Here is an 18228-nt window from a genome sequence, read left to right as displayed (position 1 = left end):
CAATAAGGGAGCAGCTACTGGAAACTCCATGGATCAGAAAGTGCTTTTGGAGCTGCCAGATGAAAGAAAGGAAAAAAGACGAATAGATGCATGGAGAAGGCAGGTTAACAGAATGATAGAACAGGGGAAGGGGAAGAAGGAGATTCACAAAGAGAGAAAAAGAGAGTGAGACAGAAGACGGTGATATAGCTCAAAGAAATGAGAATATTTGCAGTAACAGAATACTCACTCATCTTTTTCCTTAGATCCTGCTGGGGAGACTTGATTGGCAGGTGTGGCTTGAAGGCCTGGGAGGCCTGGCAGATGACTCCCTCCTTCCCCATCTTGCTTGGGCCTGCCTTGACCCTGAGCCCGTGGTTGGAGGTCTCTCAGTTCTGACCTCTTGCTCTGGTGTCCTGTGTGCCCTTCCTCTGCCCTCCTCTGCTTCTGGCTAGCTCCCTCCCTCTCTCTTCCCTTCCTCTTCTCTTCCCTTCCCCCTCCCCTCCCCTCCCCTCTCCTCCCCTCTCCTCTTCTCTCCCCTCCCCTCTCCTCCCCTCCCCTCTCCTCTTCTCTCCCCTCCCCTCTCCTCCCCTCCCCTCTCCTCTTCTCTCCCCTCCCCTTCTTTCTTTTCTTTTCTCTTTTCTTTTAATGTCTTTTCTTCTTTTTCTTTCTTTCCTTTCTTCTCTCCTTTTGTCTTTCTTCTTTCTTTTCTTCTTTTTCTTCCTTTTTTTGTTCTCCTTCTCTTTTTTTCTTCCTTCCTTCCTTCTTTCTTTTCTCCTCCCTTCCTCTTCTCCTTTCTTTCTTTCCTTTTTTCCTTCCTACCTTCTAACAGAGTCTTGCTCTCTCATTCAGGCTGGAGTGCAGTGGTACAATCATAGCTTACTGTAGCCTAAAACTCCTGGGCTCAAGTGATCCTCCCACCTCAACCTCCTGAGTAGCTGGGACTACAGGCACACACCACCACACCTGGCTTTTTTTTTTAATCTTTATTTTTTGTAGAGACAGGTATCTCACTATGTTGCCCAGGCTAGTCTCAAACTCCTGGCCTCAACTTATCTTCCTGCCTCAGCCTCCTGAGTAGCTGGGACTACCAGCATTTGCCACCATGTCTGGCTATGTTTTCTACTTTTTATAGAGGTGGGGTCTCTGTATGTTGCCCAGGCTTGTCTTGAACTCCTAGGCTCAAATGATCCTCCGTCTTGGCCTCCCAAAACCCTGGGATTACAGCCGTAAGCCACCATGCCCAGCTCCTCTCTTTGTCTTTTTTCCCCACTTTGACAGCACCACCTCCCTTCCAGCTGGTCTGAGGTCCCCCATTTTTAATGCCTATAACAAAACCAAGGGTTAGGCGGGACCCAAGAGCTCCATGTTATGGTGACAGAGTTCCAATTAAGGACATCGGGTATGGTGTGTGGTCAGCAGGAACGTTGGCTTTTCTCTGCAGAACTGACAGGCGATTCAGAGCCTATGGAGTTTGTCAAATGCAGCTCTCACCTCCTGGAGATATCCTCTGGGGCCTTGCGTGGAGACACTTGTGATGACTGGTTCCCTGTCTCACTACAGATGTGGGTTTCAATAAGGTCATGTTAATAGTATTTCGTCTGTTGTAGTAAGATTTGCAAATTGCCCAGATTAGCATACACAGAAACAAAAAAAAAAAATTCAGATCCATTTTGTTTACTAGCCCAAAGTGAATGTGCTTTATAGGCTCCAAATGTGTAGATCAAGGTTGCCAGCTCTTCAAGCCCCCAGCTGACTTTGCAAGCCCTCACCCTATCAGCAACCTGTGGCCCTTCAGGCCCCGTGGGAAGTAATAACAGTAAGTGGGGAAGTTTGTCAAAGGGTGGCAGAAAGGGGCTTCCTCCTTATTAGACCGTGGCTCTAATGAGATGGTGAGCATATTTTCCAAGCAGCCACCTTAAAAAAAAAGAAAAGAAATCCATAATGTGACCAGGCCAAGTGTGCTTACGTGAACGACAAGGGAAACTATTTGAAACTGGAACTGTTGTATAAAATACAGGGCATGTGTTTGCCAGAATTATGACAACCACTACTTTCTGTAAACCCAGAAAAGGGCCACAGCAGGATTGCCAGGGTCCCTTTGGAAAACTGGACTTCATTCCTACAGCTCTGTTCCCTGCCCCCACACCCTCTCCAGCCCTAGCTCAGCTTGTGGTAGCATTTAGAAGGCCTTGGTAATTACTGAAGGCAAATGATAGAAGACACATTTTGAAAAGGACAGCTTCATTGTTGCTAACATCATGGGCATTGTTTGTAAGGGGTTTGTTGTTTTTGGAGGCGGGTAGGAAGAGGGAGGAGGAATTCAATCAAGCCCTTCCAGCTAGAGCTCTGTGAGCTGCACAACCTGGATCCTGCTGCTGGGCCAGCGCCTGCCAGAGATAAAACAGGCCCTTTCTTTCTTGTGCGTTCTCTGCCTACTGCTGCAGCCACAGAGAGAAACAGAGATTCTGAATGGTTTTCAGGCCCCTCCTGGCTTTCCTGTCATATATTTCAGATACTTTCAAAGAAAAAAATAAAGAGCAAAGTTGATGTTCCAGGGAGGCTGTTGTGAAACACTGCATTGTACACAAGGGTTTCCTGGCACAACAGTGGGCTGGGGTGTAAAGGTCTGGAATGTCCCTTCCACCATGACCATTCTAATGACCATTCTAGACTTCTTTGATGCCAGTAAGTCCTACAGACCAGGGGTGTCCAATCTTTTGGCTTCCCTGGGCCACATTGGAAGAAGAATTTTCTTGGGCCACACATAAAATACACTAACAATAGCTGATGAGCAAAAAAAAAAAAAAAAAAAAAAAAAAATTGCAAAAAATCTCATAATGTTTTAAGAAAGTTTATGAATTTGTGCTGGGCCACATTCAAAGCTGTCCCGAGCTGCATGCATGTGGCCCGTGGACTGTAGGTTGGACAAGCTTGCTATAGAAGAAAAAAAGTTAATGTTTTCTTCAGGGAGAAGAATTGGGTCATATGTGTTAGTGTTGAAGATCATCACAAACTTTTCAGTCAGTCGGGATGTCACACAGAGCATGTCTAACTGAGTTACTGCATGAACTTGAAGCCCTGCACAGGACTGGGGGACTTGCTAACAATCATCTGGTATTTCTTCAGATAAACACTAGGTGGCATGGAGAACTTAATAAATAGAAAACACTAATATCACAAATTGGAAAATAGAGGAGAACCTTCTTGTCTCACTTGCAGCAATTTTTAAATCTCCCGGTCAAAGTTCAATAGAAAACAACAGCAATATGGCTAACGTTGTTTATTGAGGCATTCACAAAGAGAACCAAGCTAGAGGAATTATTTCACAAAATCTCTCCTTCTAATCTTTTCTGGAATATCATTTTATAAACATGATGATAAATTCAAAAATAATTGTTCCCATGACCAAATTCCTTAATAGAAAACAGTCTATTTCTGTCAGTGTGGACGTGTTTTTCATTTGCAAAATCCTGACAAACTTTTCTTCCTCCCCCTTTTCCTGTAAGAAATGAGCCAAGGGGGTGGGGGTTGGGGGGAAACAAAGCTGACTGATCATTCTTCTCCAAACATCCCTTTGGATTAAAAGGCACAATTTCTCCTGCCATTTTGACATTCCCAACATGTTTGCTTTTCTGTGTTCAGGGCTAGAAAGAGGAGTGAGTATCTTTCCCATAATGCTGAGTACAAAAACCTAGGGAGCAGGTGTCCTAGTGTAACTGCCCAAGGGGTCCTTCCTGCCCACTGCACAAACAAAATCAATTCACAGAGACCATGTCATTGCAGTAAAGAAAGAGTTTAATTAACGCGAGGCTGGCCACACCATGCAGAAGATGGAGTTATTATTCAAATCAGTTTCATGGAAGGTTCAGATGTTAGGAGTTTTTCAGATAGTTTGCTGGACAGGGAGCTAAGGTATGGACAGTGCTGACTGTTTGGGTCAGAGATGAAATAATAGGGAGTTGAAGCTGTCCTCTTGGACTGATCGCTTCTGGGTGGGGCCACAGGAGCAGTTGGCAGGTCCAGGTGGAGCCTTCGGTCAGACATGCAAAAAACCTGAAACGATATCTCAAAAGGCCAGTCGTAGGTTCTACAATGGTGACGTTATCTGCAGGAGTAATTGGGAAAGTTGCATATCTTGTGACCTCCAGAATAATGGCTGGCAATCCTTGATATCTATACCTTAATGAAATTCAGGCTTTTCTATCCTCCTAGTCTGGTGGTTTCTCATTAGCTTTACAAAGGCAGTTGAGTTTTGGGAAAGGACTATTATCATTTAAACTATAAACTAAATGTCTCCCAAATAAGCCCAGGAATAATTAAGGGCAGCTTGAAGGCTAAAGGCAAGATGAGGGTTGGCCAGATCAGATCTCCTTCACTGCCATAATTTCTTCACTGTTAGGGTTTTTGTAAAGGCAGTTTCACTAGCTACAGTTCAATGACTAGATCATTTCTGACAATAATACATCCTCTCTTTTGCTTAGCAAATCCTGTAGGGAGAAGCAGAGCTGTATCACACAAAGGCATTCTTGACTCACCAGGTACTGATTATTAGAGCAAGGCCACTTAAGGGCCTCTTCTAGCCTTCTGGCAGTTGAAAGTCCTAAAACATACAAAGTTCGCAGCCCTGCCCCTGCAAGACAGACAACAGGCTAGTCTAGGCAGAAGCAAAAATTGTTGCCACTTAGAGTAACGGGAAGCTGTGCCTTCCAGGTGTCATTTCTAAGAATAAGAGTCAGGCAGAAAAGTTAGTACTTTGAAAGGCTTCAGCTGTCTTAAGGAATGCTGTCTTAGCATAGCTGAAACCTATGTTGGAATAGCTTGAAATCCTACACCTAATCACAGTACCTGAAGTCACCAAGACACTCAGGTTCAATCTCCATAGAGACAGCGATCAGGTGCCAAGCAATGGGAGTTTGTGGCCCAGCCCTAGCCTTTATGTGTGACCTCTCTGACTCTCCCTGAGTCTCTGTGTCTCCATCTGCGAGATGAGAATTACAATTGCCATTCAAACATTCAAATTCTCAGCGCTGTGTAGAGGAGCAAATCAAATGGGAAGGCGCTTTGTAGGCCAAGCCATACCCCAGTATCATGATTCCAAGCAGGAGAGAGAAAACCCAAACTGCACTTTTATTGCCTTATTTCACTACAGTCAGCAAGAACAGGACAGTCCAATTATGTAGACTCATTTCAGCAGCATGAACCTGAATGACCACCCTATCACCCCATATTTAGAAGGTGTCTCCTTACCTAATTTTTGTGGATCTGTTTTTGATCCCTCACTCTTGTTTCCTCATAAAGGAAACTCTGCACACAAGATCTCTGTTCACCCCCCTTTAACTCACAGATCTGTAATGGTGAAACAGCCTTTCTATCTGGGGTGCCACCCGAAGTTCTTTGTCTCATGGCCAAGGAAATCAAGGATGCAGACACTCCAAGGGTGAGGATAGAGCAGGACTTTAATAAGCAAAAGAAAGAGAGAAAGCCCTCTGCCATAGAGAGGGGTCCCCAAAAAAAATGTTGCCACTTCACAGTTGAATACAGAGGCTTTTATTAGAAACTGATGAGGGTTGGGTGTCTCATTTGCATGAGGTGCAAATTTATGGTAGCTCCACCCCATCCTCCTAGTACACATGTGGGCCCTTTGCTTGAGTTATTCCATATTGCTTTATTCCCCTTACTGCACATGTGTCAGGGGATGGAATTTTCCATTGCAGGGATGTCTAGGCAAGTCTCCTGTGTAGCTTTTCTTATCTATGTGGCTGTGGGCATACCTTAGGCAAGCACCTCTGTGCCAGTTCCCTTATCTGTGTCTGCAAGCTGTTCTTTATTTGAAAGAACTCAACTGAGGACCTACCCTAACTGCCTGCCTGACCAGTTTCTTCCTTCCTCCTCTTTCAGTGGTCTGCTTTTTGTTAAATAAATCATGTTAATTTCCACAGAATTTAAGACACATACACACATACACAGACCAACCCCCCCCCACACACTTAAGCAGATTTTAACATGCATTTTAAACTGAGGGAATATTTTCTTTCTTGAAGTTTTTGGGGACATTGTATTAAAAAAATTATAAACTGGTTACATTTGCACTGAAATTTTAGACATCTCTATGTTTTTCATGTTCCCTCTCTCCCTGGAAATGAAGAATCTGCTAATATAGTTTCAGCAAGGATGACATCCACTTCATTTGTGTACTGCACTCCTCAGAAGTGATGGGCTTGTTTAAAAGTTAATCAGGAAAATCCTTTTCTAGAAAAGTGTACCATGCCCTAAAAGATCACTTTTGCAAATGTGGATTTTTTTCTGAGGGAAGAATCTCTTGCCCCTCCACCCTTCTATTATGAAAAATTTTAAACATACAGTAAACTTAAATATTTTTAGTAAACATCCATGTACCTATCACCCAGATTTTGCCACCAATTTTTTGCTATACTTGTTTTATCACGTCTGTAGATCCATCCAACCCTGTATTGTCCACTACTCCATCTTATTTTCCTAATGCACAAATGTGGATTTTGGCTTACAGAATTTGCTTAAAATGATATCCACTGTTGGGGCTACTACAAAGCTTTCACTCTTTTCCTGTTTACTTGAAAAGAACAACCTATGTTCACCTAGAGACTTCATTTGCCCTGGTGAGCTTGCGCTGCCTCAGTCAAAGGATGAAGCATGGCTCTGCTGATGGACTGTTAGCCATGGCTCAGTGAACTCAAGGCCACACTGACTCAATCTTGTGCTGTGTCTGTGGCTCAGGCTAAATGTAAGGTGTTCTGGGGTCCTTGTGGCTTAGATCATCATGAGTGACTGGGAACCATTATGTGCACAGTGTCCTTTCCTCTCCTTCTACTCTGTTTTCCCTTAAGTCAAATTAATATTCAGTCCCATTGGCCAGGTGTGGTGGCTCGTACTTGTAATCCCAGCACTTTGAGAAGCTGGGATGGGAGGATCACTTGAGCCCAGGAGTTCAAGACCAGCCTGGGCAACATAGTGAGACCCAGTATCTACAAAAATAAAAATAAAAATAAAAAATAGCCAGGCATGGTGGTGCACACCTTAGTCCTAGCTACACAGGAGGTTGAGGTGGGAGGATCACTTGAGCTCAGGAGATCAAGGCTGCAGTGGGCCATGATTGTGCCACTGCACTCCAATCTTGGTGACAAACTGAGATCATGTGTCTGAAAAAAAACATGAAAAACAATTCAGTCCCACTGTCATTTCTCTAGATTAGGCATTGGCCACCCACAGCTAGCATACCAAAATTCAGGTCTTTATTATTTTTACTTGCCTACAGGAACAGCTGAGAACATATCCTGGGTCTTGTCGTGTCCTTCATCTTCGATTTTTGCACTTTGCTCCTGCTTCCTGGTGGCCCTTCTTTGCCTTACCCACAGAAACTCTATGATATCTCCCTCTGACTGTCCACTCCAAGCTGCCCTTCCCCAAAATATGCTAAACTTTAAAACTACTCTTACTCTTCAGTCAAAATGTTTATTCTTACATTATAACAGATCTCAGATGGGAGAACATGACTAAGGATTAACTAAAGACACTTACACTAAGGTATAAGTGGGTGATAGACCTTATCTTCAAAGAGATTACATTGTATTTATTTATATTTTTTTGAGACAGGGTCTCACTCTGTCACCCAGGCTGGAGTGCAGTGGCGCAATCTAGGCTCACTGCAACCCCCTACCTCCCAGGCTCAAACAATCCTCCTGCCCCAACCTCCCAAGTAGCTGGTACTACAGATACACGTCACCACAACCAGCTAATTTTTGTATTTTTTTGTGGAGGCCGGGTCTCACTATGTTGCCCAGGCTGGTCTCAGACTCCTGAGCTCAATTGATTCTCCCACCTTGGCCTCCCAGTGTTGGGATTACAGGCGTGAGCCACCACACCCAGCCTTAGACATTGCATTTTAAAAGAAAAAGGTGCTTATTAGCTCAAATGGATCTTAAAATGGTAGTATATGTGAGATATCACGAGGTAGGCCCATCTGGATTAGTGATCTTTGTCTACTTCCAGACCTGTGCTTGCTCTGTTCCCTTTACCCCAATGTAAGGAATTTGTTATGTCTGACTCTTCAGAGAAGTTGGCAACCCCTGCTCTGGATCTTCAGCACAAAAGGCATACTCCTTTTATTTGAGCTTGTTTCCCATGCCACTGTCTTGAGTAAATAACATCTTAAACTATCATAGGTAGTTTCTGGAAAGTTTAGGAGTTTTCTAAGCATGGGACACATGCACAGAACATCTGGGTGGTGGGCTTTTAGCAATGCTTCAAGGGTCCCAGTATCACTCAGAGCTGGGCACCATTTGTCAGGGTGGGCATTTGGAAGCTCCTAAAGTAAAAAAGTCTCTTTTATTATTGGCTTATCTCAAATGAGTTTTGGGGTCATAGACTGCCATATTGTGCCCAAACTTGCTGCCCAGATTTCCACATTTTTATAGTGTACTCAATGCTTGTTTTTTTTAAAAAAATATTTTTATATTAGAAATTGTTATTTAGGTTTTGTTGGCAACATAACCATAACATACCCTACAAAACCAAAGTAATCACAATAATTTCTTATACTTGTTATAAGTTATGATTTCCAAAGTACTTTTATGTATGCTATCTTATTTCATACAGCAGTGCTGACACATACGCAGGGCAGATATATAGATGCCCACTTTGTAGATGAGAAAATGGAGGTTCAGAGAAGTGAGATGATTTTCTCAGGGTCTAACAGCTAATGAGGGTCAGAACTCAATTTCCCATTTTCCAACTCCTAGATTATAGGACCACACTAATTGGGTTGATGAGAAAACCAACTTCTGAGAGGACTGATTGTATGAAATGGAAAGATCTGTGTTGGTATATGATCCCTAAGATTGAGCTTTGTATGGTGGCACTTCCGTTCTTCCTCAAGAACTGAGCTTAGTGATTATTCAAACTTGGTAAAATGCTCTGTAGCTAAGAATTATTATAGAAAGAGAGTGTGTTGAGCTCTGGGGCCAGCATGTTATATAAGATCTGGGTGGAATCTTTGTGCTGTCCATTCCTACAAAATAAGACTAATCCTACCCCAGCAGATGACTCACTACCACACATCTGAAGACAGCAAGAATTAATAGCAGTTCTAGCCACTTGGCCGAAGAAATCCCCACTTGGGTCACCTTGTGAATCTTTCAGACCAATCCCTCCACCCTTCTTAGCTGTCCCAAGGGTTCACATTCTTTCTGTCTTTGCCTCTATGAATAAGTGTCAACTCTGATCAGCAACAAAAGTTGGATGCTAAAAGCAAACTGGGGAAATGCCAATTTCTAAAGTCTTTGAAGACTGTGTTGCATCAAGCCTTCCCAAGAACCTCTCACCTGCATCCAAGCCAAACATTATATACAGGGCCTAGTGCAACACTGTGTTTTCTTTGGTTTTAAAAGAGAACTTTAAAACCAAATCCAATCTCTTATTGATGACCTTTGAACCATTAGCCACTGTTGGGTAGTCGAAGTGGAACAAGTACAAGTATTATTGCTTATCTTCAGGCTGGATCTACTCACCAAAATCATTGGTTGAAAAGTAAAAAAATAAAAAATACACAAGTCAGAGCAGTTTGTGGTGTCATGTAGACAAAAATGTGCAGAAACAGTGTATACCTGCACACAGAATTCAGGAAGCTGGTTTGTATCAAAAGATGAAGCCTAGTTTTAGAATGTGTGTAGTCCCTCACATAGGATGTTCAAAAGAAAGCTACTCTGGGGAGGGTCAGAGACAAATGATAGATCAAACTAAAGAGGCAGATTGCTTTTTAAAGAGATGGAGCCAGGCATGGTGGCTCATGCCTGTAATCCCAGCACTTTGGGAGGCCAAGGCAGGAGGACTGATTGAGCTCAGGAGTTAGAAACCAGCCTGGGCAACTTAGCAAGACCTTGTCTCTACTACAAGTCAAAAAAAAAAAAAAAAAAATCAGCTGGGCATGTTGGCTCACGCCTGCAGTCCCAGCTAATCAGGAGGCTGAGGTTGGAGGATCGCTTGAGCCCAGGATTACAAGGCTACAGTGAGCCTTGATTGTGCCACTGCACTCCAGCCTGGGCGACAGAGTGAGATCCTGTCGCAAAAGAATAAAACAAAATTTAAAGACATGGAGTTATCAAAGCTAATCAGAAGAAGAGATTTAAGCATCATGCTCAACTCTGAAACCTAACTTCTGTCACTTAGTATCAGTATCTGTCTTTGATACTGAAAATCCACATGATTGGAAACGATTCTGTCTTGGTGTTGAGTGGCTACCATCAAGTCAACCAGTGATCCAAATCATTCAGATACCGTGCAAGAAACTAGTCATGAGAAGCTTGATATTTTTTTTCATCAAAAATGTCTCAACCTCATTTGGACAGAAATGGAAAATGACATTTGAAACTTTAATCCGTTAATATGTAGTCTGGTTCTTTCCGAAGGTTGCAAGGTTTCCAAGTTCTGAAACTCATAACTAACTAACCATATGGAAACAGAATGTTCTACAAATCTTGGCTTCCCGAATATTGTCAGAGTATGAGTGACTCTCATTGACACTGTGCAGGAACATACATGGATGACTGCCTGCATGTATGTTCCTGCCAGGGCAAGCCCTTTCCTCTCATAAGACGAGTCTCCTTACCAGGACAAGACCATTGAATGTTAAATTTCCACCACCAAGCCTTTGCTCTTGCTGCTCCCTTACCCCATACAAAGTGCCAGCCTTGCTTATCCTTCAAGATCCATCTCTGATTCCACCTGATATGGTTTGAGTCTGTGTCCTTGCCCAAATCTCATGTTGAATTGTAATCCCCAGTGTTGGAGAAGGGGCCTGGTGGGAGGTGATTGGATCATGGGGGCGAATTTCCCCCTTGCTGTTCTTGTGATAGTGAGTTTTCATGAGATCTGGCTGTTTAAAGGTATGTAGCACCTCCCCCTTCGCTCTCTTCCTCCTGCTCCAAAAATGTAGGGACATGCCTGCTTCCCTGTTTTCTGGATGACAGAGCGAGACCCTATCTCTCTCTCTCTCTCTCTCTCTCTCTCTATATATATATATATATATATATACACACATACATATATATATACACATACATATATATATACACATACATATATATATACACATACATATATATACACATACATATATATATACACATACATATATATATACACATACATATATATATATACATACACACACACATATATATATATTCTAAATTATTCCTATGCTTTTATGCTGGTCAAATTCATTTCTGGTCAATACATAATACACCATGATTGTAAGTTTCCTGAGGCCTCCCCAGCCATGCTTTCTGTACAGCCTGCAGAACCATGAGTCAATTAAACCTCTTTTCTTCAAAAATTACCCAGTCTCACATAGTTCTTTATAGCAACGTAAGAATTGACTAAGACACCACCTTCCCATGAAACTTTCTGTGACTACTCCCCCAGTTGGGATCTCTGCAGTTTCTCATAGCCCATGGGACTTATCATTGATATAACACAAGTTGAGACTCTTTGTTTGTCTTGCTGTCCCCACTTACTACTCTGCTCTAGTCCATTCTCTAATCATATCCTAACTACCACAGCTCAACTCCCAAATGAGTGCCACAGAGAACAAGAGTGGGCTTGAAAGTCAGACAGATGTGTCTTCAGTGTGGAGCCCTTCTACTTTTTCTAGGTCTGAGAATGGTTGAAATACCCATTCAGAGCTTCTCTCAGTTTCTTCATCCACTAGGAACAATGGTACCCATATCACAGGGTTGTTGTGAGAGACATTTGTAATGTGACAATGGCACAAGGCATGGTACATACTAAGCAGGTTTAATAAATGGTAGATATATCTGTACTTCCCCATGTCCTGTGCAGGATACAGAATGGGTAATGGGTCATAATTTGAGTAATGAATATATTTTCAATGCAGCATCCCTGATCATTGGATTATAAAATAATAATTCTGGAGTTATAAGGCTGGGAAAGGTTATAAGGTATCATCTTACTATGATGTATTTATTAATATGGAAATGTGTTCACAAACTATCATTAAACCAAAAAGGTACTTTTTTAAATAGGAAACTTCGGGTCTGTATGCATTTGGCCACAAGTGTGTGCACCTTTGTGCGTAGGTAAAATATCTTTGTCTATACTTATATAGTTAGATTAAGAAGTACACACTAAACAGTGGCTAACCAAAATGTTAACAATGGTTATCTCTGATTAATAGGATTGTAGACCATTTATCTGTATTAATACATTAAATATTTATTATTATAAATAAGTACTATTTATAATATTGTATAATTGTTCTTATCTGTATTAATTTTTCTGTATTAAGTTTTTGTTATGAACATGTACTACTTGTGTAAACAAGGCATAATATATGATTTTTAAAATGCCATATATAAAATTAAAGTATGAATAGAGATAGGGGCTTGGAGGTAGGGAAAATGTAAAAATAAAAAAACAACTTTTTAGGATCATGGGATTAGGGGTGCTTTCTCAGCCCCCAAATTTTCTGTTTTGTTATCTTTCACTTGTTCTTCTTTCATGAACTTTGCAATAGCTTTTAGTTTATACAAATCATTTCCTAGTCCAGATGCAGTGGCTCATGCCTGCAATCCCAGCATTTTGGGAGGCTGAGGTGGGAGGATCACTTGAGCCCAGGAGTTCGAGACCAGCCTGTCCAACACGGTGAAACCCCGTCTTTACCAAAAAATACAAACATTAGCCAGGCGTGGTGGTGTATGCGTATAGTCCCAGCCACTTAGGGGACTGAGGTAGGAGAATCACCTGAGCCTGGGAGGTCGAGGCTGCAGTGAGCTGTGATCGTGCCACTACACTCCAGCCTGGGAAACAGAGTGAGACCCTGTCTCAAAAAAAAAATCATTTTCTAAATTATTCCTATGCTTTTATGCTGGCGAAATTAATTTCTGGTCAATACATAATCAGGCTGTTATTGACAAGGCAATATTCTAAGAAGGGAATCTTCTTCAACATCTAGAATTATCAAAATGTATAAAATAGACTGACTATGTCTTGACCAATCTGTTAACTGGCTTCTTTCTGGTGGACCCCAGTTATTTTGACTGTGGTACTCAGTGTCATGTGGATCCTGCCTAGAGTTTCCCAATTGTTCCACAGCTCTGGGAACTGAAAAGCTCTTGTGCTGGTGGCCAGGGAGGGAGAGAAGCCTCTGCATGTGTGCATCAGCCTATTGGAGTTGCCTTTTGTGAGGCTAGAAGCATGGTGCCTACCAGAGCTGTGAGTAGCCCTGGGATGCAGACTGTCCTTCCTTCCCATCTGCTCTGCCAGCAGTTGTCCTGTCCCAGTAAGTACCTTCCCCTCCATGCCACCCTGTCATGGTGGCCAGCTCAGGACTGGGATATGGAGCTCTTATTCACAACCCACATGAACACAACCTGGATTTGTAGCAGAGGTAGAGGAATAAACGGGGCCAAGGCCAGGGGACACAGGATAGAGTTGGAGAAGGTCTGTTCTTTTTTCTATTGACTTTAGGAACAGGTGACTGTATGGTTACAGTGGCTGCCTAGATTTTAAACTCAGTTTGTTTTACAGTTTCAACAACAAGATTAGAAAATATTTATTGAGTTCTTACTATTTGCTAGATACTTAGTGATATGGTTTGGCTGTTTCCCCACCCAAATCTTATCTTGAATTGTAATTCTCATAATCCCCACCTGTCATGGGAGGAACCTGGTGGGAGGTAACTGAATCATGGGGGCAGTTACCTCCATGCTATTCTCATGATAGTGAGTTCTCACGAGATCTGATGGTTTTATAAGGGGCTTTTCCCCCTTTTGCTTGTCACCTCTCTTCCTGCTGCCATGTGAAGAAGGGTATGTCTGCTTCCCCCTTTCCACCACGATTATAAGTTTCCTGAGGCCTTTCCAGTCACGCTAAACTGTAAGTCCATTAAATCTCTTTCCTTTACAAATTACCCAGTTAGCAGCATGAGAATGGACTAATACACTTAGCTATACTAAGGAGATACACTGGTGAACAAAACAGACAAAACTCCCTTCCCTCACTGACTTTACATTATACTGTTGTAGAGTTTCTCTCAAACCTGATGATGGCTTTCCAATTCCGATCGAAACAGAAAATAAGGTAATGAACTCTGGATTAAGAATCATCTGAGACACTTACCTGGCAGTGGAAATACCATGATCACGAAGGTGGTTTTTCCATGGCCAGCCTTATCCATTGCACTCAGATGTGTTGACCCCTGCAATTTCCCCAAATGTGAAAAACTTGACTGCATAATTTGTGATAGTAGGACTTTCATTCACACTTTCCCCAGGGGAAAAAGAAAAAGGAAATAGACGAGCACATTTGACATTTCTCAGTGGCGTGGCAGATCTCTAGGGCTTTATCTCCTTGTCTCATTCAGAGTGTGCCTCTTCCAGGAAATAGGCATTTACATTATGAACACTTACTTTGATCTATTCTGCATGATCTTTGATATCCTCTGTCATTTTGGAAAATAGCCCCAGAATCCAGACTTTCAGCTTTTGGGACAAGGTAAGCATAGGGAGTAGACAAAATTCCTTTCACCAAGAGGTGGAAAAAAGTGTAGTCTGTCTTACTACAAATAGATGTAATGAGGTGGAAGAAAGTGTAGTCTGTCTTACTACATATAAATGTAATGCTGGGAGTATAATTTTCTAATAACAGTAAAAGAGAAGGTCATAGAAGATACACAGCCTGCTAAAGAAGAATTATTTTATATAAAATGTAACTATGTCACAACATGATTTGTGTACAATGTTCTGATTATATTTATATCTTTGTTTTTGTTGCTGTTGTTGTTGTTTACTTGTTTTAGAGACAGGGTCTCACTCTGTCGCCCAGGCTGGAGTGCAATGGTGTAGTCATGGTTCACTGTAGCCTTGAACTCCTGGGCTCAAGTGACCCTCCCACCCTGGCTTCATAAGTAGCTAGGATTACAGGTATGTGCCACCATGCACAGATCATTTTTAATTTTTTTTATAGAGATGGAGTCTCACTATGTTGCCCAAGCTGGTATGGAACTCCTGGCCTCAAGTGATCCTCCTGCCTCAGTCTCCTAAATTGCTGGGATTACAGGCATGAGCCACTGTGCCCAGTCTGTCTTAATTTTAAGACTGCTAAAGAGTGAGACTTTTCGGCAAAATACTTAACTAAGATGTCCCATATTTAGCTTAGATCTTTCCCAGATTGGCTTGGAAAATATGAGTTTGTCCATTTGTCAGTTTTCTTTGGTGAAGAAGACTGTGTGTGTCTGTGTGTGTGTGTGTGTGTTGGGGGGGATATTCAAGAATATAGAGAGTTGTTTTGTTCAAAGAACATGGCCTGAAGCTTATGACAATGCTTTATCAAACCCCCTGGCACTGGAATCTAGCCACTGATTTTTATTAAACTTTGGAGCTTTTGCAATTCTCACTGAGCTGAGGTCAGAGCTGGTGAAGCGCTGCCCCACTGCATGCCCTGATAACCACAGCCTCTTGGTATATCATCTTAATGGCCAATGGAACCTCCTTCTCTTCCTCCCCACCGTGACTGACATTTTCAGAAATGCCCCAAAATGGCACTAAACGATGTGCAAACACACCAGATGGATTGCTAATCTCTTTTCGAGGCTTTCTTAATGGTGAATTCATAGCCCCTTGGAGCAAACTCAATTTCTCTCTGTGTACTCTATTTTCACTTTTACAATTTTAGAAGAAATCATTTTGGCAAACATATTTTGTGACTTGGATGAGAGGTAATTTATACAATTGCTTTATGTAGTACGACAACAAGCAGCAACTCCAGTCACAGGAGGATGGACGGCTATTCATCAATCACAACTGAGACACATAAATGGGTCTGGAGCCTTTTATGTGGCTGAAACCATGAACTTGGGGGCTACTTAAGGCAAATCTTGTTTCTTTGGGGGGAGGGCAGTGCAGATAAAAGCAAAAGTCAGCTCTTTGGATCTTCACCTTTATATTAATCACCAGATCTTAAGAGAGCCTCAAATGAGCCCAACAGAGAGGGTACAACTTTAATGGTACAAATGACACAGTGCTAAGGGTGGGCACCGCCAGGTCATCCATGCCAGGGATGCACCTGTGGCCCCAATCCTTGAGGGTGATTGGGCAACTGAGTGATACAACATGATCATTTCTCCCAATGGACCAGTCAGCCCACTGCATATTTTTCCTGGGAGTGCCTGTTGTCACCCCCAGTGAAATTCCCAAATCTGCCCAGAAGATGTTGCTTTACACCTCAGGCTCAGCAAAAACTTTAACATTTTTGAACACACATACACAGACACACACAATCACACAGAAAACACAACCTTGGATGGAGGAGCTCTTATCTATGGAGCTGCATGTGTTTCCTCTATACCATTGGTTTATAACTATGGCTGCACATTAAAATTACCTGGGAAGCTTTTAAAATTCTCAAATGTCCAGTCCCGCCACAGACCAATTGAATCACAATTGTTAGGGGTGGGACCCAGGAGCCAATATTTTTCTTGAGCTCACCATGTTATTCTGATTTGTGGCCAAGTCTGTGAACCACTGTTTTAAGCAGTTAAGGCCGATAAAGGAAATGGGTCTCTAACTTTAGTGCATACTGGAATCAACTAGGGAGCTTGTTAAAATGCAGATTCAGTAGGTCTGGGCTTGAGGCCTGAGATTCTATATTTTTAACAAGCTCCTTAGGCAATTTTGAGGATGGTGGTCCATGGACCACATGTTGAGAACCCTGGCTAGAGAATTCTACTCTGGAACTTGCATGTTTCTCAAGCCTCTTTTATTATTTAATTTCAAAATGGCCCTCTCCTCTCAAACAGCTTCCTCTTCTGCCAGTGCATATGTGGGAGGGTATAGTCCCTGGGGGGATAATCAGGTCAGTAAATTCAGACCATTCACCTTGTAGTATCCAGAAGAGCCAAGACAATACATCAAAGGGATGCGGAGGCATGGGGTTGGGTTTGGAGATGGACAGAGCAACAGGAAAGAGGAAGGGGGCTAGTTTTAGTCTAGTAGGTACTGGAGGCGGAATTCAGATTTGCAGTTAGAAAGTCACTCTGGGCGGGGTGCAGTGGCTGATGCCTGTAATCCCAACACTGTGGGAGGCCAAGGTGAGAGGATTGCTTGAGGCTAGGAGTTTGAGACAAGCCTGGGCAATGTAGTGAGACCCCATTTCTACAATTTTTTTTTAAATTAGGTGGGCATGGTGGTGTGTGCCTGTAGTCCCAGCTACTTGGGAGGCTGAGGTGGGAAGATTGCTCGAGGCCAGGAGTTCAAAGCTGCAGTTAGCTATAATCACACCACTGCACTCCAGCCTGGGCAACAGAGAGACCCTGTTCCAAAAAAGAAGAAGAAAAGAAAGAAAGAAAATAAGGAGAAGGAGAGGAAATAATCCCTGTCTTGGATAGTCAGAGTTGGGAAGATCAGTCCCTGCAGCACACCACCCAAAAGGTAAGATATACTCAACCTGGGCCTAGACAAAGACATCCTACCAAGGGTTCCGGAGGGTGCCTCCATAGTTACACCTCCTACCTATACAGCCCCCACCTGTACAGCATTGTTTCTTGTCCAGCTTTTCTGTTTTTGCTGAACCCCAGGAGAACATTGTGGGTATTGCTGCTGCTAAGCAACTATAAGATAAAGGGAAAGGGATGAAGTGGGGAGGGACCATAGCCATGAGAAAGAGATCTTAAGTGTATCTTGTAATTGCATATGCTCACTAGATAGTTATCCATTCTTCTGTGTATTTTGCTGCCCATTCCACAGACTCAACTGATGTGGAATTAGAGTGCACAGCCCTTAATGCCAGGTAACAAGCAAAATGCTACATGGAAAGAGTATGGATTTTGCAGGTAGACCAGGGCTTCCATCCCACCTCTGCCACTTAAAAATGGTGTGGCCTCCCCATGTCCCCCATATGATAGTAACACCTCTGTTGAGTCTCTCTGTTGGGGGTGGGAGAGCATGAAATTAGAAAAGGCTTCAGAGAGGAGGTCGAAGGTGGAGTAAGATTTCCACGGGCACAGATAGTAGGGAAGAACTTCCTAGGAGGAGGTAAGGATATGCAAAAGACTGGAAAGGATGGTTGCTGTACTGTTAGAATTTGTTACTGGAATCAATCCAGGTGGCTGCCATACAGTACTTTGTTGTTGTTTACCATATTTGTTTTCAACTTGTAGTTTGCATTTAGCTTGCTCTGACCAATCAGGAGACGGGT

General features: G+C 42.6%; 1 pseudogene, besides 2 other annotated features; it reads left to right on the top strand.

Moving 5' to 3' along the window:
- Positions 1922-2505: an enhancer, noted in NCBI's record as "NANOG hESC enhancer chrX:132384486-132385069 (GRCh37/hg19 assembly coordinates)". NCBI's record gives its function as "activates a minimal SCP1, AML or CMV promoter by ChIP-STARR-seq in primed H9 embryonic stem cells {active_cell/tissue: H9 hESC(primed)}" and the evidence as "EXISTENCE:reporter gene assay evidence [ECO:0000049][PMID:30033119]".
- Positions 14147-14306, top strand: RNU1-115P (RNA, U1 small nuclear 115, pseudogene; annotated as a pseudogene).
- Positions 16417-17242: an enhancer, noted in NCBI's record as "OCT4-NANOG hESC enhancer chrX:132369749-132370574 (GRCh37/hg19 assembly coordinates)". NCBI's record gives its function as "activates a minimal SCP1, AML or CMV promoter by ChIP-STARR-seq in naive H9 embryonic stem cells {active_cell/tissue: H9 hESC(naive)}" and the evidence as "EXISTENCE:reporter gene assay evidence [ECO:0000049][PMID:30033119]".

The sequence above is a fragment of the Homo sapiens genome, chromosome X, assembly GCF_000001405.40.
Source record: "Homo sapiens chromosome X, GRCh38.p14 Primary Assembly".
NCBI lineage: Eukaryota > Metazoa > Chordata > Mammalia > Primates > Hominidae > Homo > Homo sapiens.
Note: the sequence above shows the minus strand (reverse complement) of the source record. Positions and strands in the feature narration are given on the sequence as shown.